General features: G+C 39.0%; 1 protein-coding gene and 1 long non-coding RNA gene across 4 annotated transcripts in view, besides 1 other annotated feature; one reads left to right on the top strand and one right to left on the bottom strand.

Annotated features, from left to right (window-relative positions):
* Positions 1 to 1004, bottom strand: part of TANK (TRAF family member associated NFKB activator) — a 99268-nt gene extending 98264 nt beyond the window's left edge. For all 3 annotated transcript variants that reach the window (XM_047441820.1, NM_004180.3, NM_133484.2), the window contains exon 1: positions 904 to 1004. The gene's annotated coding sequence lies outside the window, so the exon portion shown is untranslated. The remainder of the gene's footprint in view (positions 1 to 903) is intronic.
* TANK-AS1 (TANK antisense RNA 1) overlaps positions 1 to 26525 on the top strand; it is a 64199-nt gene that overhangs the window by 22324 nt on the left and 15350 nt on the right. The window lies entirely within an intron of this gene.
* Positions 830 to 1169: an enhancer, noted in NCBI's record as "active region_16703". NCBI's record gives its function as "activates an Ori minimal core promoter by ATAC-STARR-seq in GM12878 lymphoblastoid cells {active_cell/tissue: GM12878}" and the evidence as "EXISTENCE:reporter gene assay evidence [ECO:0000049][PMID:35858748]".

Below are 26525 nucleotides of genomic sequence, written 5' to 3'. Positions count from 1 at the left end.
GAGACGGAGTTTTGCTCTTGTTGCCTAGGCAATAGTGCTGTCTTGGCTCATTGCAACCTCTGCCTCCTGGGTTCAAGTGATTCTCCTGCCTCAGCCTCCTAAGTAGCTGGGATTACAGACATGTACCACCATGCCCGGCTAATTTTTGTATTTTTAGTAGAGACGGGGTTTCATCATGTTGGTCAGGCTGGTCTCCAACTACTGATCTCAGGTGATCTGCCGGCCTCAGCCTCCCAAAGTGCTGGGATTACAGGAGTGAGCCACCATGCCCAGCCTTGAGTTAATGTTTGTATAGACACACTGGATCAGGCCAGGATCGATTTTTAAAAATATAACCAAAAAAGTATGAATACATTTTTACTTTAATTTACTTTTCAGCCTAGTAAGTTATGAACAACTTAAGCCAAATATCTTTCAGCATAATGTCAACATTATGTTATAAAAATCATTCATTGGAGAAGGCTCTCATTCCAGATATAAACTTAAAAAAATCATTGAGGTAGAGACATAAATTCTATCTTAAAAGTTAGAAAGAAAATTAAAAAAAATTTAAAATTTTCCTTGGTCTTGGCTAGGGACCCCATTATTTACTTATTTATTTATTAAATAGAGATGGGGTCTCACTATGTTGCCCAGGCTGGCCTCAAACTCCTGGGCTCAAGTGATCCTCTTACCTTGGCCTCCCAAAGTGCTAGGATTATAGGCATGACCCACCACGTCCAGCCATTTTTTAAAGGCCAAATTTCTAACTATGACGTTAACTACAAAGGCATTATTGAATCATGTCATAAATTACTCACATAGCAAGAGTAAGAGGGTAACACATCTGCAACACTTCAGTTTAAGACATCCAGGCCCCTTTCCTAGGTTAAGAATCAGTAGGAACTATTGAAATTAGATTACCTCTTCTCCAGGTTACAAGTCTTCCTTTGTAGACTATTCCTCTGTAAAGATGAAGACAGTTACACAGTTGTAAAGTGTTTTCCACAGGCTCTAACAATGCTGCTCAAACTGTCCAGAGCTCTCCCTTATGTTGAAGTGGGAACTTCCACTGAGAAATCCCCCAACTTGAAGACTTCCTTATTTGTAGCTAGCAACAGCCAATCATGGCACGATACTGAAATGAAGCAAAGACTATCAGAAAATATTCTGTAAACCACTCGTGACTGTAGCTCTGACTTCCTTTTGAAGCAAGATACTTTATGTGAATAGTTAAGGCATTTTAACAACAACAACAACAACAAAAACCCCAGGAATTGTAAACACAAAAATACTTTTGGATTAAGCATTTTATGTAAGAAAATTTAAAAGTTCAGTTTATTTGATAAGTGGCTTTTTAACCTTTAAGAAGTCGCTTTTTGACCTAAGAAGCATGTTTATAAACAGGAGGTAAAAACCAAATTTGATTATAGTTGTCTTTATGGCCTACAGAAGTCACTTGGAAGAAGCTTTGTAGTAATAAGGTTTAAGCTCAATTGCAGAGCCTGAGCTTAGGTACTCAGAAGAGAGGTGAAGCAAACAAGGCTCTTAAGACAGCTTTTCTGCCTTGAGAACTTAAGGTTCACTGTTCGTGGGATAAAAGTGTGTTCCAGCAAACTCGGGAAATGCTTTACAAATACATGTATTTCTCTTAGGTTGCTTAGAGCAAAACATCACATTTTACATGCAAACGGAAGACAGCATGTGCACCACAGACATTTTTCTTTGATATAAAATTTTAGAGCTGGAAATGTCCTTAGACAACATCTGTTCCATTTCCTTTTTATTACAGATGAGGGAAACAGGAGAAGGTAAATGCTCAATGTCACAAGTAAAGTTAGAAGCAGCGCTTAGATTAAAATGTGAGTCTTTTGAATCCAAGTGCATTTCTTTTTTTTACTGCACTACACTCTTGGCATATAAAGTTACTGAGCTGGATAAAAACTGAATTAAGCAGTCTCCTTTTTCAGCTCCTGCATTTTACAGATGAGAAGTCTGAGGCTTTACCTAAACTTCAACAGTTATTAAAAGGTCTAGAATTTAGAACTTCTGATTCTTAGTCTAGTTTGTTTTCCACTTTGAAACACTGCCCTCTCTTAAATTATATGTTAAATAAATCTGAGATATTGCTACTTATGATGAAATTATTCTATAAAAAATAATTTCAAAAGTATCTAAAATGCTGAATAAACTTATGATTAAAGGCTTCTACGTACTCATCTAACATACAATGAAGCATTACATTTCTTTTGGAACTATGGGTTTTATAACTATCTTACTGATGAAATGCTAAATATTAAATGCTATTGTGTGCAATGGAAAAATAAAACCAACCTATCCCGTGCTGTAAATATAGCAAAACAAACCAACAAAAAAGTGAGATAGCCACTAGTGAAAGGAAAACTTACTTCTTAAGAATTTACAGTTTTGAATGAGCAGAGTTTTAAAAACACAGCTTTTAAAAAAAGCAGCGCTCCTGTCTAGACTGGGAAATGCCCCTTTCTTTGGTCTCTTCATCCTGTGCCCCCTCCCTCCTCTATTTACTTTGGCATTTGAGCTTGGCTGACACCCAGGATCCTGCAGAACTGGCTACTCCAGGGTATGCTGGCCTCAATCTGGTGGGGCATTGTTTGAGAGAGGGTCCTACAGCCAAAACAGAGAAGCTACAGTTAGAGAAGCTTTTTGAAGAAATTCTGAGTACATGAAATTTAAAACCTATGCCACTAACCAGTTCTAGACTAGGCAAAATATGTGAGGCAGATGGAAGTTTTAATTTTTGTCGTCTCTAGTAGTTCCTTTTCCTATTTCCCTACTCCCCACCTTTTTCCTTCTCTTGGAGTCGTAAATCAAGTGACTAGGGCTGACAAAAATGCAGAAATTCCTTCAGAGGAGGAAGCAAACTGGTACTAAGCCAGGATTGGCAAGGGTTAGGGTATAATGACCAGGGCAGGAGTGGGATGAGCAGCTCCAAGCCCAAGTTAGAGGGTGGGAGGCAAAACTCAGGTTCCTATTCAGGGAGAGAAGAATGGCTGAGGGGAGTTACTAGTCAAAGAATGCGGACATCACTGCCCGGGGGCAGCAGGATTCTCAGGGCAGGTCTGGTCGAAAGGCCTCCCTAAGAAGAATCCTGGAAATTTTTTTTTTAGTGAAAGTGGAGAGCAAGAAAGCCAGGTCTCTTAATTGCTAACTAGGATTTAGAAATAGGTTCCCTCCTTCGGAGGGAGACCCAGGTGCCTGCGACTCTGGCCAAGTAGCTAGTTAGGTAGCCAGGCTGCATGGGGTGGGTGTTTGATTGAGAAACTTGGTTCAGATGATCACATGGACACCTACAGGACGAATTCATGCTCTAGGCACAGTATTTGTGAAAACAGCATGTTTTCCAGGCTCTACTTGCTGGTGGGCTGATGCTTCAGGATTTTATTGGCCTGTGGCCACAGCAGGGCTGATGCTAAGGGGAATTGAGACCTGCAGGGATGATAGATGCTCTTTTTCCACGACCACCCCAGCCTCTATAAATGGTGCACTGGGCAGAGTAACCTATATGACTTATTTGCAACTCAACAAAAATTTATGCCAAAGTTTTGCTTCTCCAGAGGGGATATTTGCATTTTAGTTCGAGTGGTGGAATTAAAGGTATCCCCATTTAATGAAACTTCTGGTCACACTGAATGGATGAAAGGGATATAGTGGATGTAGGGAGAGGGGTAGTGTAGGGAAAATGTCCTTACTCTTTACAATTCATATACTTAAGCTGTTACCTAAGTTAATGATTGGCCTTATACCTGTAGGGACATTTAGTTAGCATGCTTGGTCAGTTACAGTTGCATCAACCCCCCTCGTATAACTTTTGACTCCTCCAAAACTTAACTACTAATACATCTTACCTATAATATAAAATCGATTAATGAATATTTTGTATATATGTTATATACTATATTCTAACAATAAACTAGAGGAAAGAAAATGTATTTAAAAATCATAAGGAAGATAAAATATATTTGCTATTCATTAAGTGTAAGTGGATCATCATGAAGGTCTTCATCCTTGTTGTCTTCACATTGAGTAGGCTGAGGAGAAGGAGGAAGATGAGAAGGTCTTGCTGTATCAGTGGTTTGAGGAGTCAAAGAGAAGGAGAAGGTGAAAGGGGAGGCAGGGGAGGTGGGCCCACTTGGTCTAACTTTTACTGAAATATATTCACATGTAAGTGGACCCACACAATTCAAACTCATGTTGTTCAAGGATCAACTGTATTTATTCAATAAACATTTATTATCTACCATGTGTTAGGCTCCATGCTGGGTGCAGAAGTTCTTAAAATGGTTTTTTTGCTCTTGAGGAGCTCATGTTCTTAAGCAAGAGATAGACGTGCAAACGTTTAACTCTGCTCATTGACAAAGTTAAGAGTGGTGATGCATACAAAGTTCTGGCTGTGTGGGCAGAGAGGCAGTTCTCAGAGCTCGAGCTACGCATGAAGAGATGCCTAGATACCCACGGATTAAACAAGTGAAAGGATCAAGGGTTAAAAATTTATTTTATACCCTTCTCCGTATTCTCAATAAATCCACTCTGATTTTTTTTAGACTAAGCTTGTGGTTTTCTGCTTGTTTCCATAGCTTTATTAGTAAAATAATTGTAAAAATCTTATCTTTTTAACATTGTAGGGGATTATTTATAATCTTTACTTTTTCTTTTTTCTTTTCTTTTCTTTTTTTTTTTTTTTGAGACAGGGTCTCACTCTGTTGCTCCTGGCTGGAGTGCAGTGTTACAATCATAGCCCGCTGCAGCCTTGAAATTCTGGGCTCAAGCAATCCTCCCACCTCAGCCTCCTGAGTAGCTGGGACTACAGGTGGGCACCACCACTCCCAGCTAATTTTCTTTTTAAATTTTTTTGTAGAGTTGAGATCTCATCATGCTGCCCAGACTGGTCTTGAACTTCTGGGCTCAAGCAATCAACCTTGGCCTCCCAAAAGGTTGAGATTACAGGTGTAAGTCACTGTACCCAGCATATAGTCTTGATGATAGTTAGACACAATTTGAGTGTTCTTAGCATCTAGCCTTAAAAAATAAATCTGTGAGGTACACAGACTAAGTAGTTAAGAAGTAGCTTGAGCATATTCTTTTTAATTTTTTTAACTTTTAAGTTCAGGGTAAACTTGTGTAATGCAGGCTTGTCAAATAGATTATTTTTTCACCCAGGTATTAAGCCTAGTATCCATTAGTTATTTTTCCTCATCTTCTCCCTCCAGTGTGTGTTGTTCCCCTCTATATGTCCACGTGTTATCATTTAGCTCCCACTTATAAGTGAGAACATGTGGTATTTGCTTTTCTGTTTCTGCGTTAGTTTGCTAAGGATAATGGCCTCTAGCTCCATCCATGTTCCTGCAAATACATGATCTCATTCTTTTTCATGGTTGCGTAATATTCCATGGTGTATATGTGCCACATTTTCTTTATCCAGTCTACCATTCATGGGCATTTAGGTTGATTCCATGTCTTTACTATGTGAACAGTACTGCAGTGAACATACACGTGCATGTATCTTTATTGATAGAGCAATTTATATTCCTTTGCGTACACACCTAGTGTTGGGATTGCTGGGTCAAATGGCAGTTCCATTTTTAGGTCTTTGAGGAATCGTCACACTGCTTTCCACGATGGATGAACTAATTTACACTCCCACCAACAGTGTATAAGTGTTTCTTTTTCTCTGCAACTTAGGCACATTATTTTTGAGAACAAGAATAAAAGTGGGACCCTGGATTCCCCAGCACCTTGTCCTCCCCTTTATATGATAGGTATGTATTTTTGGCTATCAAAAGAAAGAGGAAACTTAGTAATATGTGATAAAACAAAGATTGATAGACTAAAAATTTAAAAAACTCTTGACAAACTCAAGTAATAGGCTGATGCCAAAATGAAATTCAATAGGAATAATTATGAAATTGTCAGTTACTACTCCCCTCCCTACCACCATCCCACAAATGAACAAAAACCAGAAAGGAATTGCATAATCACAGAAAGGGTTGATGAGATGCAAGTTAGTAGCAGTCACACAAAACTGACTTGAGTTTTATTTGAGGTGATAATATGGGGATTCTAAAAATATCCCCAAAGTAATAGGACCTTAGAATTCCCTCTAGAATGAGGGACGCATTAGTCCTGCTTTCTGACCTATCTTTCAGGGTACCACTCTTTAAGACCACAGACAAACTAGTTATCAAATACTCATCCATATTACATGTGTATGATTGCAGGAATGGAGAATGTTTAGCTTAGAGAAACTGGGAAGGAGAGAACTGTATTCAAATATCAAATTCATTTATGCAGCTCCAAGAAAGGCCTCAGACAGTGAGCCAGAACTATAAGGAAAAAAAAATTCGCTTGTTACAGGAAGATCAGCGTTCCAATAGTCAGAAAATGAGATAGGCCACTTTAAGAGGTAATGAGTTCCTTCTTCCCTGGGAGAAAGGAAACATATGATGAATGACCATTGTTTGGGAATGTAGAAGAGATTAAAATCTCAGATGGATTAATAATGACAAATACCTGTATATAATTTACTATGGTCCTGGCACAGTTCTAAGTACGTTACATGTATCACTTTATTTAATCCTTATAATACCCTATAAAGGAGGTACTCTTTTATAGATTCAAAACTGAGGCATAAGGAAGTAAAGTGGCTTGACCAAGTAAACATAGCCATTAAATGTAAGTGGAAACTGAAGTGTCTGTCTCCAAAGTCCATCCTCTTAACAACTTTTAAAGCACCTGGGATTGCCCAATACACTGCACTTTATCTAGTGAAGATTCTCTCATTCATTGATACATGAAATTTTAACGGAGGTGGAAAAAAATTCAGATGCATTCTCTACCACTTTCAATTTCTTTCTTTTTTTTTTTTTTTTTTTAGATGGAGTCTCGCTCTGTCACCAGGCTGAAGTGCAATGGCGAGATCTCGGCTTACTGCAACTCCACCTCCCAGGTTCAAGTGATCCTCCTGCCTCAGCCACCATGCCCGTCTAATTTTTTGTATTTTTAGTAGAGACGGGGTTTTACCGTGTTAGCCAGGATGGTCTCAATCTCCTAATCTCATGATCCGCCCGCCTCGGCCTCCCAAAGTGCTGGGATTACAGCCGTGAGCCACTGCGCCCGGGCTGATTTCTTCTTATGCCTAGTTGTGGAAGCTTCCAGGCTGACAAGAACGTAACGAACTGAGAATATGCCACCTTCAATTCCTGCTTAATACCTACCTTGGTCTTGGGATGGGCATGTTAAGAATAGCATAATTGAAGATGGCAGGAGGATGGGAAGGGAAAAGGAGGGTGATGCAGAAGAGGTGCTGATATGATTGGCTTTGTGTCCCCATAATCCCCACGTGTCAAGGAAGAGACCAGATGGAGGTAGTTGAATCATGGTGGGTGGGGGTTTCCCCCATGCTGTTCTCGTGATAGTCAGTTCTCACGAGATCTAATGGTTTTATAAGGGACTCTTCCCTCTTCGCTTGGCACGCCACCTTCCTGCCCCCTGGCGAAGAAGGCGCTTTGTTTTCCCCTTCACCTTCTACCATGACTGTACATTTTATGAGGCTTCCCCAACCATACTGAACCGTAAGTCAATTAAACCTCTTTCCTTTATAAATTACCCAGTCTTGGGCAGTTGTTCATGCAGTACGCAAACGGACTAACACAGGTGCTCTTGTTGAGAAGTGGAGGAGCAAATTAGACATGCTGTCTCTTTTCAAATGCCAATTTAGAAAAATAGGGCAACCTGGGAGCAGATTCAATACAATTAGTCAAGGAAGATGATAATGCACATTTGTTTCTGCAGTTTTACTCATCCTTCCATTTTTCCTTTCTAATCTGTTATGTATAGCTTAATATGTCTCATAAAAAATACATGATACTTTCTACAGGGTACAAGGTGAACTATTTAAGTTTCCATAAAAAGTCTCTGTAAGCTGACAGAATTTAATCAGAAAATGAGACATCTCACCATTGAAGAATTTGTTTTAGATATTATACATTCTACTTTCTGTTTTATTGGCCAAGATAGCAATACATTTAGTTTATTACCAATTAACCTTTCTATTTTGATCTATGCACTGGGATTTCTCTTTTCTAAAGTTGATGAGAAACACCAGCCAAAAGAATGAGCCTCACAGGCATTTTCTTTCTAAACTGAGAAACCTAGAAAAGTGGTTTTGATATTAGGATAAAATAGAAATTACTGAACTCCCCTCAAAGAGGTAAGGAATATATAAATTGTAGAAAACAAATTTGCATTACCTGAAATATATTTCTTTTGGAATTATAAATTCATGAAATTGAAATTGCTATGAGATGCCTGTCATCAATAATTTTCTATGTGAGAACACAGTAATTTAGTACTGATACAATTACTAATATTAGTAGGATTAATAATAATAGTTCATACTTGTAATTATCTATAAATGAGAAAGATAAAAAATGTCAGCCTGTCTGTAACCTCTAAGACACAATGGTGGTGAGAAAGAAATCAAAGAGGAGAAGAGAATAGAGGGAGAGATGGAAAGAATAATCCATAAACTCTGGGTTTTTCTATTACTTCAATAAAATAAGTCAAATTCTCAATGAGATCTGACCTTTGAAAACTGTTTAGCATGACTCCAGGGGGATGTTGGGAGGATTAACTAGCTGAAGCTTGCAGAGAGATTTCAAAGTTCCTTGTGTGTTATTTATTCCTTGCTTTACCAGTTCAGTTCCTTTTTAATTTGATCATATTTGGTGGGATGCCAGAGCCATGATAAAATATCCAATAAACACGGGTTTCAAGTAAAATCACAAGCTATTGTTTGAGGAGGAAAGATTGAGGTAGTTCTAAAAGTGTAGAGGTAATTCTGTGCGTAGACATGCTATTTTTAAAAGATTTTTTTAAGTTAAATCACTTCAAAGAGCAGGAAACGGACCCAAAGAGATTAATTGATTTTCTAAATATCAAACAGCTGACTCATAATTTTGACAGTTTTTCACTGGCATTAGAGATCCTGGCTTCAAAGTACTTGATCACCTTTGGCATTATAATTTGAAGATGCTGTTATGGTTTGGAAGCTGAGTGGGATGGAATTGGTGAACTTTTTCTAATTATTCAATTGGTGAAAGAACTGTGTGTTTTATTCTTCTCTTATCATTGGGTTTCAGATTTTAAAATATTGTTTGGATGGAAAAAAACTTTGTAGAAACACCTCTTTCTCATGTCTCATTTATTTATTCTTTAACCCTTCATTCATCAATTGCAATATGCTGATCAGCTCTTGGGAGAGGGAGCCATAGAACCAAGCCCAGCGGCACTTTCTGGAGCACGTCAGAAGTAACATCCATCTCTCTGCAGAGGAGTTAGGCAAATAGGTGCTGGAGCCATAATGCCTACATTCCAAATCCTGACTTCACCTTTGACAAATGTCTTGCCTAAAACTTATGGTAGTTTTGAGAATTGAATGAATTAGTATGTGTAAAGGATTTAAAACCCTGAGCACATGGTAAGACTATGTAAGAGAGTTTCTTTGTTGTTTTTTATTCATTGATGTATTTTTCTTCACTGTCTCTGTAAAATTAAAATGTGAATTGGCTGGGTATGGTTGCTCATGCCTGTAATCCCACCACTTTGGGAGGTCGAGGTAGGTGGATCACCTGAGGTCAGGAGTTCGAGACCAGCCTGACCAACATGGTGAAACCCTGTCTCTACTAAAAAATACAAAAATTAGCCGAGCATGCTGGCAGGCACCTGTAATCCCAGCTACTCTGGAGGCTGAGGCAGGAGAATTGCTTGAACCCGGAGGGTGGAGGTTGCAGTGAGCCAAGATCACACCATTGCACTCCAGCCTAGGTGACAGAGCAAGACTCTGTCTCAAAAAAAAAAAAAAAAAAATTGTGAATTCATACAAGTTTTGCAGGAAAACTAGATGGCGAGAAATTAAATTATTTAAGCAAGATCATTTTTGTTTGTCTATGCAACTTCTATATTGCCTTTTCCTTTTTCCCCTTGTAGCCTATGTACTGTTTGGGAAGCAAACTCCAACCACTGTCCATGAGTAGGCTAGGACTGGCTCAAACCAGTCAGTACATTATATTTCTCCTACTTTTGTTATTGGCTGAGGGTGGAGTGCATGACACGAGCCAGTCTAACCTTGGTGAATACCAGGACTCTTGCTTGGATTACAGAGCTGAAAGTAAAAGTGAAGCACAGCCTTCATTATTTAGGCTGACAAACAGCCTAAAGCTGTAAGGGTCTTCAACTACAGAATAAAACCATCATCACGAGATGGCCAAAAAGAGAGATGGGGAAAAAATTGGTGTTTTAAAAATTTTAATTAATTTATTTACTTTGAGATGTAGTCTTGCTCTGTCACCCAGGCTGGAGGGCAGTGGCATGATCTCAGCTCACTGCAACCTCTGCCTCCTGGGTCCAAGCAATTCTCATGCCTCCACCTCCTGAGTAACTGGGATACAGTAACTGGGCACAGGCGCATGCCACTGTGCCCGGCTAATGTTTGTATTTTTAGTAGAGATGGGGTTTCACCATGTTGCCCAGGCTGGTCTTGAACTCCTGGCCTCAAATGATCCATCTACCTCGGCCTCCCAAAGTGCTGGGATTACAGGTGTGAGGCACTGTGCCTGGTCAAAACATGGGTCTTTAATAATATTGCTGAACCACTAACTCAAACAACTTTAAAGCTCCCTCTACCTCTTGACTTTTGAATTATGTAATCCCCAAGGTTCCCTCGTATTGTTTAAGCCAGTTTGAGTTGGATTTTCTGTTACTAGCAATTGAAATCTTCTTGCTGTAATACTCTATATGGTCAAAAAGGAGTCGTGAATACAACAATAACCACAACAAATAGCCTTTATGGAGATTTGCTCTACGTCAAACACTGCTCTCAGTATTAATCTTTACAACAAGCCTGTGAGACAGGTATCATGACTCTCAATCATTAGCACTCTAAGTGTGGGACTCTGCATAACATATGCAAAGTATCATGGCTGCAGATCTTGCATTTCCAACATGACCTGTTTTGGCCTATTTTGTGATTACGTGTGTGTGTGTGTGTGTGTGTGTGTGTGTGTGTGTGTGTGTGGCTTTTTGAGATGGAGGTCTCTCTATTAGTACTGATACAATTTCTAATAGCAGGATTAATAGTTCATACTTGTAATTCTCTATAAATGAGGAAGATAACAAATGTTAACCTATCTAACGTCTAAGACCCAATGACAGTGAGAAAGAAATAAGAGAGGAGAAAGGAATAGAGGGAGAGATGGAAAGGATAATCTATAAACTCTGGGCTGCTGTGCAGTGACCATTATCAAGTATGATCATAGCTTACTGCAGCCTTGAACTCCTGGACTCAAGCAATCCCCTATTTAGCCTCCTGGGTAGATGGGACTACAGGCATGCATCACTGCACCTGGCTTAGTTTGAGATAATATTTTTGCAGAGAACAGATGTATAAAGTCTAGCTAGTCAGGCTCCTTTTCCCTGCTTCCTCCAGATAATTTTTAAACTGAACACAGAACATATTCATTTGGGTACCATACTGCAGATTAACAGTTGATTAAGTCCCTTGTATATTTCAGTTTGAATTTTTAGTTTAAGGGTTTTGTTTTATTTGATTTTTTGGTTGAGGGTTTAATATGAGAAACTATCTTTCTTGGATTTGAATGCTCACTGGTTTTTTTCTATGTCATTTGTTATAGTCAGGATATTAGAGTCATTTGAAATAGACTACTCTGGCAGAAGGGCAAACTATCTTCTGGTTCTTTGCATACTTTGGGTTTTTTAAATAAGTGCTTGGAAAGTTTATTCCTTAGGAATGAAGGCCTTTTTCCCCAACCCCTCTTATACCAGTCAAGGTTCAATCAGGAGACAAAATCAGATAGTAATTAGAACAGGGAAAGTTTAGTATAAATAACTATTAACTATACCAGGTGCTGATCTATAAAGGAGTAAAGATACTCAAAAGGATATCTGGGGCTCAGGGAGGGTATCTAAAGAAGGAACAAATGTGGGAAAGAGAACCTCTTTCCTAAGGCCGGAATTCAGACCACAGTGGAAAAGGTGTGGTTGTAGACCAGGAGATTCCAGAGAAGTGTGCTTGGTTGCCCAGGCCAGAACTGGTCCACAGATGCTGGGCAATGAGTAAACCACCCCTCCAAAGTGCACGTGGGCCAAGGCTGGGAAGCTGACTTTCGGGACACCTGTGAGATTCATCGGGAAGCTGTCAATAGGAATGCCACTGCAACTCGATGAGGAGCCATCAGTATGTATGCCACTGCAACTTGATGGGGTGTCACTAGAGCAACCTTACATGCACAGTTGGTAGCCATGAGATAGGAACAAGAAGAAAATAGAAAACACCAGAACCAGGAAGAGGAGCCCTATTCCTCTTGTAGTGTTTCTCCACCTCCGTATACAGACAAAGCTTGACACTGTTGTCACTGCAAAGAAGAAATATTTCAACATTCCAGCTTCATTTTTGCCAAGCAGCCAATAAAAGGTGGCTTTGAAGCTGGGATGCAATACATACTTAGCTGGCACACTTTTGAATGCAGGGGATAAGTTTTCATTATACCCTGTTATGTCAACATTCAGCAGTAGCTTTGTTTAAGTATATTACTTACATTATATGAAGGTCAGTGAAGCAGATGTTAACTATAAAATGTCTTTACAGGTGTAGTCCCCACCAACATCTTGGGGCTCCTCAAATCTTCCTTGAATGATGTCTGAAATAGGTTAGATCTTTATTTGTAATATAATGCTTTGACCCCAGTTAAAATATAACTACCTCATGAATGAGAACTATTATACTGTTATTGGCTATTAAACTTTAAGATGATTGAAGGTGATAAATTACCCCAAGAGGCTGAGGAGAGGACTTTAACTGACTCCCTGTATTTTAATCAACATTCTCTCTTGAAACTTTCGACAAATAGTATCAAACCATCTTAATGAGCTCTCAGAGTATTCTCTTATTTTCTATCCACTGAAACATGGTAAAACCCTGAATATGCTCTTGTCTGAACATATGTTTATGTTAATGAGGAAAGTTTACTTTATGTAGGAAGAAAAATTGTTTCTATTTCTGACATGATAAGATGTAGGAACAGGCTACAAACTTCAGACTTTATGTGAAAGAACATTTGAAGATAATGAAAGTTTATTTCCTCTTCTTGAAAGATGTTAAAACTTTATAAAAGACACAGAATTCTAAATTGACTTTTTAGGTTAATTTAAAATTTGTTAGGGGTATGGTTCAGAAAGTTTGTGCAGCTATAAGATATAGAGCACTTAAACTTATAAGTAGCAGAATTTTTTTCCCCTTCCATTAACCAGTTTATTTGATGTGCTATCTGCTAGAGCTGCCATAACAAAATGCCACTGATCAGCGGGCCTAAACAACAGAAATTTATTTTCTCACAGTTCTAGAGGCTGGAGGTTCAAAATTAAATTGCTGGCAAGGTTGATTCCCTCTAAAGGCCTTGAGGAACAAACCCATTCCAGGCCTGTCTCCTTGGCCTGCAGTTAGCTATTCTCTTCTTCTCCTTCACAGGGTGGTTCCCCTGTACAGGCAGGTCCCTTGTGACTGTGTGTGGCTAAATTTCCTCTTATAAGCACACCAGTCTGATTAGATTATAGCCTATCCTAGTGGCCCCATTTTAACTTGATCATCTCTTTAAAAGTTCTATCTCCCAAAACATTTTCTGAGGTTAGGGGGGTTAGGGCTTGAACACACGAATTTGGTGGGACTCACTTTAGCCCATAGCATTGGATGAACTAAGCATGATATATGCAGAAAGCACTTAATTTCTTTTCTCACCACTGCCTTTTATCTGTGCTATTTGAATTTCTAGATCAGCTGTTTGGGTGGCTTCTTAAATTCATAATGTGTGTTCTTAATCTTCTCTGTTCTAGGGTTTCTGATGAAAATCAGAAGCAACAGAAAAAAGCCTGTATATACTGCTATATGCATCAGTAATTTTACTACTGAGACAATTTAAACTCAAAGTTTAGATTCAGGTTATATCTATAGACAGAACAAGAAGGTTTGATTTGTGGACTTGTTTTCTCAAACTATTGCTTCAGTCAATGTGGTTGGACCAGTTTGGTGTGTAGAATTAGTCTCAGAGACATTCATCATTCTTTCAGGGTGGCTCCCAGACAGGCGAGTGGATAGACTGGGTAAATGGGAGTAATTTTGTAGGTAGGGCTGACAAAGATTTCCAAGAGATCTACTTAAGGTCTCTTAGGCCTTCTTTCCCAGGAAGCCTGAATCAAGGGGCTTCACTTAGCATCCATCTATCTCTGGTCTGTGTTCCCGATCCTCAAATAATGACCTAATTCTGTTCTACCATTTTCCTAATTTTGGCATGTCCACCAGACTCAAACAGCCTGTGTTCCTGTGATATTTCTGCTTTACTCCTGATTTCAATTATGTTTCCAATCCTGGATTTACAATCTGGGCTTGATTCCTGCTACTCCCTTGCTTGAGTTCTGTTGTCTGTGGCCTTGAATTGCTTGACTATGAATCATTCCATTTCATGACTCAGCAGGAAGCACCCTGCCACTGCTTTCACAGCTTGCCTACTCGTAAAGATTTCAGAAGTTTTTATTTCTCTAATTTCAAAAGCATTTTCTTTGGTTTCTTCTTTATTGTCATTGAAGCCAGTTTCAAAGCATAGGAAAACAGAGTTTTGCCTTCTCTACAAATCCAACACAACTTCTTAAAAGTGATTACAGAATTAAATCCTGACAGCGACTCAGGAACTTGTTTCTTTTCTGGATACTTATCCTGTGTGGGCTGCTCATAAATGCAGCCCATACCATGTAAAGTAATCAGTGGCAACTTGGTGGGAATCAAACATTCATATTCTGGAAAAACTGATAAAACAAAGTTCTCTTGTTTAGGGCTGGCATTTCCTCAATACAGAGGAAAGAGGATTGTCATAACTAGGATATCATAGAACCTATCAATATGGACCAACAGGTAGGAGAAGGAAGCTGGGATGGGGCAAATAGAAATCAGCCTTCTAGGAACAGCTCGTGTCTACTGCAGAGAGCATGGAAAGGATGATAAACCTGGAAGTGGTTTAGGTTGGTACTGATTTTCAAACCAGATTCATTCCCTGCACAAAGACCCTAGTCTTAGTTATTGATGAAGAAAATATTACTTGCTATCAAAAGTTCCTCCTGTTACTTAAGCCTACAGTAGTACCTAAAGTGGAGTGTATGGACTATTGTTTATGATGAAGTTTTTATCAGACTAGGTGAAATGAGAAGGATAAGGCTAGTGTAGTGATTTTTCCTATAAAGCTAAATTTATTCACTTTTAAGGAACTGCTTTTTATTATGAGATTAGTTCCCTCCTAGTTATGTTTTGGTATTAACATGTGCTTTTAAAAAATAAAACAACACTGTTAATGGATGGTAGTTATTTGTTTTTATATCTTTGCTTAGCTAATTAAAGATTAGCAATCTTATATCAGTCCCCAAATTGTTTTTGAAAATATTACCTAGTTCATAAAATCCAAATATTTTGGAAGTTCTGATTGAAGCCACACACTATCCGGCGATATAACAATGGGGAAAGGAAAAGGAAACCTAATTGGCAAGAGACCATGTTCTTTGAATGATGGCAAATAGAGGGTGGGACAAAAATGGCATCAAACCCCAGACTCAGTTTATCCAGAAAGTCTCTCTCTTCACCGTGGTGCTTCCTATGCACTGAATATAAAAGTGGGTTATCATAAGTGGATTGTGTTTTTCCATAGGAGCAATGCTTTAATTATGGGACATACTTTTATCCAAAGACTCAACATCAAATATATCAGAAATGGTAAACAATGTCTCACAAAAGAAAAAAGAACTTCAAACAGTTGAATTATGTTCTGCCCACAATTAGAGGTGAAAAAGACCATGGATATCCTTGCTATTTAAGTGTGGTCAGCTGGTTGGCGACATCAGCATCATCTGGGCAATTGTTAGAAATGCAGACTCTCAGGGCCCTGCCCCTGCATTTCTGAATCAGAACCTACATTTTAGCAAGATCCTCAGGTGATTCTTATGGACATCTGTTTGTTTTGTGGAGGAAAACCAGGACCAAAAGGACTAGCAAACAGAACAAAGTCTATTATGACCCCACAATGGGAATAATGTAAGGGCAAGATTAGGAGATGAGCCCAGGGCAGGTAGGGCACACAGGGCCAGGTTAAGACATCAGGAAGGTTGAAAGGAACAGCTGCTTAATAGGAAATGCTGCTGGGATGTGCCTGGAAAGTCATGGCAAACTCACAGCGCTCCTTCTTGGGAAGAGATGATGTGGTTCTTCCATAATCCCATCCAGTGTTTTGGCTGGAGTTGGGACTCAGAATAATCAGTGGGGAGCACAATGGGAAACTCTGACATACAGTAAATAAGAGGGGAAAATGTAGTCAAATCTCCCTCCTCCTACATCCCTCAGGCTGTTCATTAAAATCACCCAGAGAGCTTTACAAATGCCCCAACCCCCAGTGCCTGGGTGCTACCCATGGAGATTCTGATTTAATTGGACTGAGGTCTGTCCCAAGCATCAGTAATTTAAAAATGTCCTCGGTTGATGGTTATATGTGGTCTGCATTGTAAACTCTGAAACATTATTGCTTTAAAGACCTGAAAGGGAAAAATAGTAAGTATTTACAATCCATAAAAAAGCAGCTCTGCTATAGCATAAATATATGCCATATAAATTAGTATAAAAATTGGAGTAAGCATTTAATTAGAAATTTTATTTAATCATGTTAGAATCTGGAATGATGAGGGGGAGCATGGATTTGAAGGTATTTTAAACCACAAATAAAGTATTGTGTTTTCATCTTATTTAAATTTCCTGTTGCAAACAGATACTCAAAAGTATAAATTGGGATTAAGACTCGGGAGGCCTGGATCTGCTCTGCGACCTCTTGCTAGTGATCAACCGTTGTTGAAACTGATGAATGCGTGGGTGAAGGTGAAGAGTGAGTGTTAATTAGACTGCCTTGAAGTGGAGCAGCTCCACAAAAGGCTAATCTTGGAAGCACGGAGTTTCTTTTTTATTACCTTGACACCTAGTTTGCAAATTCCTATGAAGGAAAGTAGCAAGAAGCTAACTTTTATTGGGCGCCTATTCTGGGCCAGGCTAGGTTTTCTCATGTCATTTTCCCAACTACCCTTTAGATATTTTTCAGAAGATCAAGCAGGCTCAGAGACTGAGTAACTTGGACATAGGTAGTAAATGACAGATACAGTTTTTGAACTCAGGTGTGCCTGTCTTCAGAGCCTATGGTCTTTCTATGGCACACATGCTGTGCTCTCCAGAGAACAGAGGAGCCTGCTATAGCATCTTTCTTTCTCTCCTTCTTCTTATTTTTTTCTTTTTTTGAGCAGGATCTCACTCTGTCACCCAGGCTGGAATGCAGTGGCATGATCATGGCTCACTGCAGCCTTGAACTCCGGGGCTCAAGCCATCCTCCTGTCTCAGCTTTCCAGGCAAGTGGGACTACAAGTGTGCACCACCATGCACAGCTATTTTAAACAACATTTTGTTGACATAGAGTCTTGCTATGTTGCTCAGGCTGGTTTCAAACTCCTGCACTTGAACAATCTTTCCATCTTGGATTCCTAAAGCAGTGGGATTATAGGCATGAACCACCATGCCTTGCCTAGCATGTTTATATCCATAAAGATGTGTCTCACACAAAATAGATGGCTGCTAATTATTTAAGAAGGAACAACTTACTTATGAAACATATATTAGCTGAAGGTCTACAGCTGTGCCTTACATCATGACAGTGGGCCATGGCCATGAACTCTATTTCCCTTTACTTCTCCTCATCTCCTATCATTCTCTTTTTGGTAATTCTTCAACTATTCCCACCCTGTGATATGCTTCTTCTCTCCCTGTGGAGCTGAAGAGCCAAATGCTGACCCAGCTCCCAGATTCCCTTTAGCTGCGGGTCCTGGCCTGGCAGTCTTTGGAAGTATAGTAGAAAGGTCAGACTGACCCAGGTCTGGAGGTACCCAAGAAAAGCCACAGATGCATGGTGCTTGAACCTTGATATGAATTAGACTCAGGTACAGAAATGGAATAAAATTGCAGGCTCTGTTGGGGGTCAGAACACATACTCCAAAGTATAGTACCTTGGGAATTGAGAAAACAGCTGAAGCAATAAGGTAGTTCTCTGACTTCCTTCCACATTTCTCCCCTGAGAGCTAGCCATCAAAGAAGTCTGACCTCCTTCTCCTGAAAGTAGGTCATAAGATCCTCATGTGACAGGTGTCCTGACCTATACCCCAAGGGAAGGAATGTCACACAGAAAGGTCAAGAAGAATCTGAACAAGTAGGCCTTGTGGAGATTCCCCCAGTTTGTTACCATTAGCTCATACCCTTTTGTCCTACAATCATTTCTGCATGACTGTCCACAAAAATACACAGTTTTCCCTAGGTCTTTGGTTCTTCATTTCTGAAACCTCTGGTGTCACATAAACCTTTTATAAAATAAATTGTATGCTTTTCTCTTGTTAAACTGTCTTTTGTTATAGAAGTGTTAGCCATGAACCTTGCAATGGGCAAGGAAAGAAATCTTCCCACCCACACAGCTACTACATTCTAATTTAGAGATTAGTTAAGTCTTCAATAGTTAACATGATGGATTCCTAAGACCCTGTATATTTCTGAATTATTGATGGGACTGAATAAAACAGACTGTTCTCAAAAATTTATTCTGGGGCTTCCTCTTCCATATGATTTGGTGTATTCAAGACTACTTGAGTCACTAAGGCTGAGCTCAGGAGAATTTTTTTTTTTTGATGGTATCTCCACAAAATGGGTGCTAAATATTGAATAACCAAAATGAAAGCTGTAGTTTTGCTGGATCTGAACTAGACAATGTCCTAGAAATGAGTAATTCTATTAAAAAATCAGTGAATTGATAATAGCTGTAAGACAGATTCCACAACAGAAGCAGTCCTGTGTTGGTTTGGGACAGCTGTATGGGCAAATGATTGTCACAAGTTATGGTTTCAATACTAAGCATAGTGTGAGCACTCATTAATCTGGTGAGGATTAGCTAAGCAGAAAATACAGTTTTATAACTAGTTGGAAACTTAGTGCATTACTTTGAGTTCTTACTACCTCCAACTTAATGTTTGACTGATTTCCTCTTTACTCAGAATTTATATGACAGTAATGAGAATGATGATAATATTTATGATTTGTTAGATACACAACTGTCCTAGATACCTGTATATATTAGTTTTGAAGTTAAAAGCTCATAAATAGAACTTATTGTAGCTAAATAGTGTCAACTGACATCTTTTATTCCAACGCTGTGCCATTTCCCGAGACACCAGCATCACTGTTACTGAGCTTCCCTGGAGCTGTGCTTGGGTAGGGCAGATGTTAGAGCTGAAGATTGTTCTCTGTAAGTCACAGAAATACAAGCTATACTCTTTTCAGCTGTCTGTGTGCACTGAAGAAACTGAATACTAGCAGTGGTCTTGGCAGGGTCTTGGCAGGGAACCTTTGTTTCTTAGTACAGTCAAAAAAGCACAAGAAAAGGGAACAATTCTGTATCCACAAATCATCTGTTATATTGAAGCATCTCCTGGCGGGCATTTTTGATGAGGTGAAAATCATGCAATGAAGGAGCTTTAAAATAGGCAAACTTATAGCTGATTTGTTCTCCCTTCTAGCTTTTACATTAACAAAAGAACAGATCTGGGTGAGGAGAGTTTGGGCTGAACGTTGGCTGGTCCTCAACCTCTTGCCTGAGCTGCTGTGTAGTGCACCTCCTGAACATTTCATGATGTTCCTGACACAAGATATGGTGCTGTTTATAAAATAAAGGTGTGGTTTAAGAAGAGTATTTCATCTTGAGAGCCTCTATATCATATGTTTACAAGGTAGAAGGAAAAAATTATCTCTTCCTAACTTGAAACCCTAAGAATAACAACTACAATAAACAAATATATTCAATTCCAATAGGCCAGTTGGTAACTTTTGCACTCAAAGCAAAATGTATTGTGAATTCTAAGTTTGGCCAGGTAACCCATGGATTTCCAGAGAGGGAAAATGAGGGTACCTGAGGCCATAAGAGAAGAGAGAGAGAACGTGATTTCTAGACTGAGAAGTGAATTAAGAAGTCTTGATGAAAAGAGGTTACATATTAGTGGGAAGATGATGGGAAACAAAAAGATCATAATGTATTAAAGTGAAATCTAAGCCCCATGAGAAATCAAGGTAAACAGAATGAGTCGCCTTCACCTATTCTCTTGTTTCATAATACTTGCAAAATAGGTGTTGTTAATTTAATTAGTAGAACTGTTAGGCAGAGCCTGCAATTAGGATTTCCAAGCTCTGTCACAGTCTATCTATTTAGCTTAATTGTAGAAAAAATACAATGTTGAATATATTTCTTTAAAAAAATTGAGGGAGAGGACTTTCCCATAATCTGACAACTCTGACATTTTCTCTTGTAGTTTTTTTTTCAAATACAGAAGATATTTAGTTGCAATCATGTACATGCAATTTTGTGCTGTACATTTTTTTCTATTTTCTAATGCATATTTTTGTATTGCTTAATTTTTTTTAGTGATAATTTATAAAAGCTGAAAAATATTCCATTGAGTTGATGTATTGTACTTTAACTGTTTTTCTATTGTTGGATATTTAATTCAACAATTCTTTTAGACTTCTTGCCTTTTAATAAAGGAAATTAAACTATGTGTATCATTAAGATATACTTGTTCTTTAGAAATTATCCTATTTAACTAAAAGTATATATTATATCTCTTGCTTGTTTGCCTTTTAATAAATGGCTTATGCTTGTGTCTTGTATTTTATGGGACAATTTGTAAAATAACATAATTATTGAAATTCTATTGGTGATAATTTCAAAGGAGCTGTTCTCAAACCTTAGTGGCTAACAAGAATCACCTGTGGTACTTGTTAAAATGCGTATTTCTGAGCTCTATCTTCAGATGCTCTGATTAACTAGATCTTGGGTACTGGCTGAGGCATTCTCATGTAGGGGGTTATATAGCACAGGTAGGTAAGCACTGTCTTTACGGAAATTTAGGATATCATTTAGCACAACGTTAGTCAAATTAACCACAGAATGCTGGAAAATCTTTAATTGCATTTAGGAGTACTTTTTAAGGCAGCTTGTAAAATCTAATGATTCTTGTGCCTACAAGCAGAAAGTCTAGTTTGACTTTATGTAAAAACTCACCAGGCAGCAAAGAGGAAGTTAAGGCCAGGAGAACGAAGAAGAGAGCTCCTACCCCTGAGGTGGAAGACAGAAAGGGTAGAAGACTTGCCAGCTGCATGTTTGAGATGATGAGAGGTCTGGAGAAGATGTGAGGACTCACGAATCATAGATCCGTACTGTTCTCCAGCTACAAAGTGATGTGATAAAGAGACAGCAAACCTATTTGATTTCTTAAGAAATCTAAACAGCAGTTTCAATAAAAATAGTGTTTAAACATATTTAGTCAGCTTTATAGTTTGACAAAACTAAGGGCTTAAACTCATGTTCAGCACTTACAAAAAAAAAACCACAGTATTTCCACCTTATCAGAATAAAATATATGTAAATTTGTCATACTTTCCCCAAAGTCATTGGAGAATAAAAGTGTGATTAGGACCCAGTATGTCTTTATATGATGTTCTCCTATTTTAGTGTCCATCATGAAACTCAAAGCATTTGTCAGACTGTTCTTTTTCCTTTATTTCTCAAAATAAGCAGTGAGTGGGCAGATATCATTCCTATTTTGTAATCACAGAAAGAAAAGCACTGAAAAGTGAAATGTTTTGCTTGTAGTTCCACATCAGCTAGTTGATCTTCCACTGAATTCTGGAGGGCTGAGGTCTTACTTCTTTAGCTTTTTAAAGTGCTACAGCAGGCTTAGCACTGCTGGGAGAACTTTTCCACGCATCTGTCACATTTCTGCATATCTTAGGAGCAGAGACATCGACTATCTGTTGCCCAAGAATGTCTTTGATGAAGTTTGTACAGCAAACAGTCTTTGAAGACAGAGATAGTGTCTCCCTTTGGTGCAAAGGCAGGGCATGCTGGCTGTCCAGTATAAAAGATTCAAGTTCCCTAAATTCAAAGTCCTTTTCCTGAAATGCAAACCACTGCTCGTGCAGGCCTTCATCTCAATCTGCATTGCTTCTGTAGGACCTGGGGACAAGGGAAAAATATGGTACTCATGCTGCTTGCTGTGCCATCAGTAATAAAGTCCATTGTCTTTGACCCAAGAGTCTTATGTCATCAGCCAGCTTCCATGAATCTATGGCAGGCTAACTTGTTAGCTAATCAATGGGGTAAAATCTCACAGCCTTCACAGTTCTTGACAATCACAAAATGGTATTCAATTAAAGACTGTAAAAATGAACAAGACCCAAATAATAGAGTCTGAGTCTTCTGGCTGTAAATTCAGGGTGCTTGGAGAAATCTGTACTACCCTATAAAGTGCAGCCAGAGAAGTAGTAACAACCACACACGCCCTGGGGAGAAACAGATAACCCATTTTGAGTAGAATAACTGCTGACAAAGGTGGTTCATCTAATTGTATTTGAAACTATTGAACTTGGTGTTACAAACTTGTGTGGATAAGGAATGTTCTTAAAGTTACTGAGCTCACAGGAAACCTAATTTTTGTCCTTGTTCTCCTTTTCCTTCAATCTAGAGGTTTGCATTTTGCCCCGAAAATGAGGGCAGAGCCAGTGTGGTCCATTATGGTCACTTCTGATCTGCTCTTTAAGCTAGTGTGGTGCCTTGAAGCAGCTGATTCTGTGCTTCTGTGCTGATTTGGCACGGGCATCTCTACTGAGGCTGCACCCAGAGAGGGAAGTGAGTTCCCAGGCTCCTTGCTCTCTTTCCAGTTGAGGGGAAACCCTCTCTCTCTGTTAGGACAAATTCTCATTATACACATAACATAATACCTTCAAGGAGCTTATACTTTTTGAAAAACAAAATCAGGAAGGAAACACATCCTGGAGCAAAGGAGTCCAAAGGGTTTTGGCTCTTTTTCTGGAAAGTGTCTGAAGAGGAAAAATAATTTGAGAATAAAGCACAGTTAAATATTTCAATAAATCATCCAGCTAAACTGTTTTTTTTTATCTTTTCCTTCTTTATATTCTTCTTGAATCCTTTTCCAAATAAAAATGGGTGACCATTTTTGGAGCGTTACATGGATTGTTTTAAGGGTACAAGTTCTAGGACAGTAGCCTGGGAGTTAGAGGGGAGTTAAGGAAAGAGGTGGTACATGCAGAGGGTGAGCAATACAAATAGAAAACCTTTAAATTGGTCTCTTAGGCTTTAGCCCTCTTAGTTCTCTTCAACTAGTAACCCTTCCTCCCCGTATCAGGCTCTCAAGGTAAAACCAAGCAGCAAAATGCCTGCTTAACCAACACTTTTACAATTGAAGACTATGTAAATGACAATAAAACACTGGCAGTATGTGCAGATTCTCTTGCATACTAGATTCAGAACAGAAAATATGGTCTGTCTTGACTCTCACTGCTGTCAAGTGTTTAAATTGTCCTTCCAGCATATATTTAAAACACATTGTCATTGCAATGTTACCAAACAGTGAGCAAGTCAATGTATCTGAGACCACACAATGATTGACATTTTATAAGTCAAACAGAGAGACATGGAACCTCATTCTGTGACTGCTGTTTCCAGCTCTGAGGACTGCTGATACAGTTTCTGACAGTATGGGGAGATGTGTAATGTTGGTTCACAACCACAAGCTGTAGAGTCAGAAGGTAGCCTCAACTCTTCGGTCGCTTGGCACGTGCTCCTTTCTGGAATGAGAGAGAACCAACTCAAAGGACAGTAATGTCACTAACACATTTTCAAGCAGTTGTTCTCTTTTGTGTGAATGTTGGGGTATTCTGATTTTGTTATTTTCCATCTTTTACTTCTTTTGGGTTTGGGAAAGATGAGCTTATCTGGGTTATATGTAGGGCCACTTATACGATCACAGAGCAAGGCAAGGGGAGACACAGACCTTCTGGGACATGACACATGGTCATACATGGGTGAGCAAGGTTCTTGTCCTCAATTCAAATCATTTACCAAGTTTCTCACATACCATCAGAAAAATTTAACTAAGATTCAACTTTTAAAAATTTAATTTGCACCTGAAATGAAAGGACAGATTAAGCTTTTTAGTTAGAATAAAGTTCTATCCAAGCAGCTGCCCCAACTGAGTTAGGGTGAGATATTTTTCGCCCCTAGATTGTGAGCCATTGCAGAAGGCAGAAACTGCATTTTTAATTTTTGTATTCTAAAAACGTAGCTCAGTGCCTGGCACAAAATACATGCTTGATAAATTTTTGTCAAATAAGAGAATGAATACCAACAATTGAATAACAACAAATATAAAAGACTTTCAGACTTCCTGGGTTTTGTTTTCAGAGGTTACTCTTTCTATTGACATATTTTTTTTTCAGCTTGAATAACTACATCTCATTTTATTACATCTTTTATCTTTTTTCTAATTAAAGTTACCATGGTTCACAAACCCTGAGAAAATAGCAAGCTTATCCACTAGAGAGAATTTCTTGACCCTCATTCCCTTAATAAGCGTCCCTGGCAATGTTTTTGACTTCCCAAAAGAGTTGTTACACAGATTTCATATTATTTAGATGGAGAAAGAAGAGAACAACATGATCAATGAAATTAAGGCTTTTGCATAATTAGGGGAAAAAACACCCTTTGCCTGGCACAACTTCAATCTTCCTTTCCACCAGCTGCTAAGTCATTTTCATATCCCTTGCTGCTTTCTCCAAGCACAAACACACCTGTTCTCCCAGCTCAGTACCCATTTTATGCTGGCTCCTGTGAGCAGGAGATGTGAGTGTGTTTTGACTTGCGTCAGAGAGCTGAATAATCATCTCTTTATTCTGAAATGATAATAGCCCTCTTTGGCAGAGGTAGGTAGCTAAATACTGTTCAACCTTAGAATTTTTCTCCTGAGACCATGAGCAGGACAGTTCACTTAGCAAACCATTTGTAAGACAATTTCAAGCTCGAATTTCTCTGGTCAACTTGTTGTATCAATCTGTGAAAACTCCTCTGGTCTTTTATACTTTATGCAGTGGCTAGAGATGTGTGTTTGGTGACCTCACCAGAAACAAATATTCTTACGCTTCCAGTCTGCTGTAGATGAAGTTGCCACCAGATTGGGTGACTGGCAGCCAGCATGGCATCTCTTCCTTTGACACTCAAGAAAGGAACGTGATCTATTGCATAAAGGCTGCACAGTTTATGTATAAATGGAAGAAAGCAAGAGCAAGCATCGGGGCACGAGATTAAGAGGCCAATGGTAGAGCAATTGGTGTGCTGATAGACAATGATATTTGGCAAAAGTAGAGGCTATTCACATCTCTGCTATTCTTTTCTTTTATTTATTTATTTATTTCTTTTTTTTTTTTTTTTGAGACAGAGTTTCGCTGTTGTTGCCCAGGCTGGAGTGCAATGGCACAATCTTGGCTCACCAAAACTTCTGCCTCTCGGGTTCAAGCGATTCTCTTGCCTCAGCCTCCTGAGTAGCTAGCATTACAGGCATGCACAACCACACCCGGCTAATTTTGTATGTTAGTAGAGATGGGGTTTGTCCATGTTGGTAAGGCTGTCTCGAACTCCCAACCTCAGGTGATCCACCTGCCTTGGTCTCCCAAAGTGCTGGGATTACAGGTGTGAGCCACCGTGCCCGGCCCCATCTCTGCTATTCTTTTATATTTCCATTCCATGTGGATGAACTATATGGAATTCAGGCATTTTGGCTCAGAGCATTTTTAGTGCTTCTTATCACAGAATATTCAGGAGTGACTGACTCATTTTTTACTGGGAGTTGATTATAGGACCCCAACCCCAGCTGATTTATAACAGTTTCCAAAATAATGGTGTCATTCTGAGGATTTCGCTCCATTGTTCCACTCTGTATTTTCCCATCTGGTTAATACACCACTCATCTTAATTAGTAAAATGCCATCCTGTCTGGTTCTCCCTTGCCCAGAAAGTCATTCAGTTCCCAAATCACTTCTTCACCTCCATCATATAGTTTAGTATTTTGCAACAGGAAAACTGTAACATAGCACATTCTTCCTCTCACAGGGAAAAGTGAAACCCGCTACAGCAATGCTAATTAAGCAGAGTTTAACATTAGCTTTAATTTAAAGCGGCTCTCCTGAGACTTCTTAGCATATACCCAGGGTGTCATAAAATATGAAGCCACACTCCCTCTCAATTAGCATCCATTTATTTGGGAACAACACCAAGCAGCAATAAACAGGCACAACCTGTTCCTTTCTTTCATATTCTGCCTAGGAGCAGATAGCTTATTGGATGGTTGCTTCATAAGAAGTGGCATCTTCTAGGTGACTGGATTAAACCAAATTTGAGCCAGGAAAAATACCTTGCTAGGCATTCCTCTCAAATCTTAGGTATATTTTTTCAGTTTTAAGCTGCATCATGGCAGTGAGTTAA

The sequence above is a fragment of the Homo sapiens genome, chromosome 2 (assembly GCF_000001405.40).
Source record: "Homo sapiens chromosome 2, GRCh38.p14 Primary Assembly".
NCBI classification, from domain to species: Eukaryota; Metazoa; Chordata; class Mammalia; order Primates; family Hominidae; genus Homo; species Homo sapiens.
Note: the sequence above shows the minus strand (reverse complement) of the source record. Positions and strands in the feature narration are given on the sequence as shown.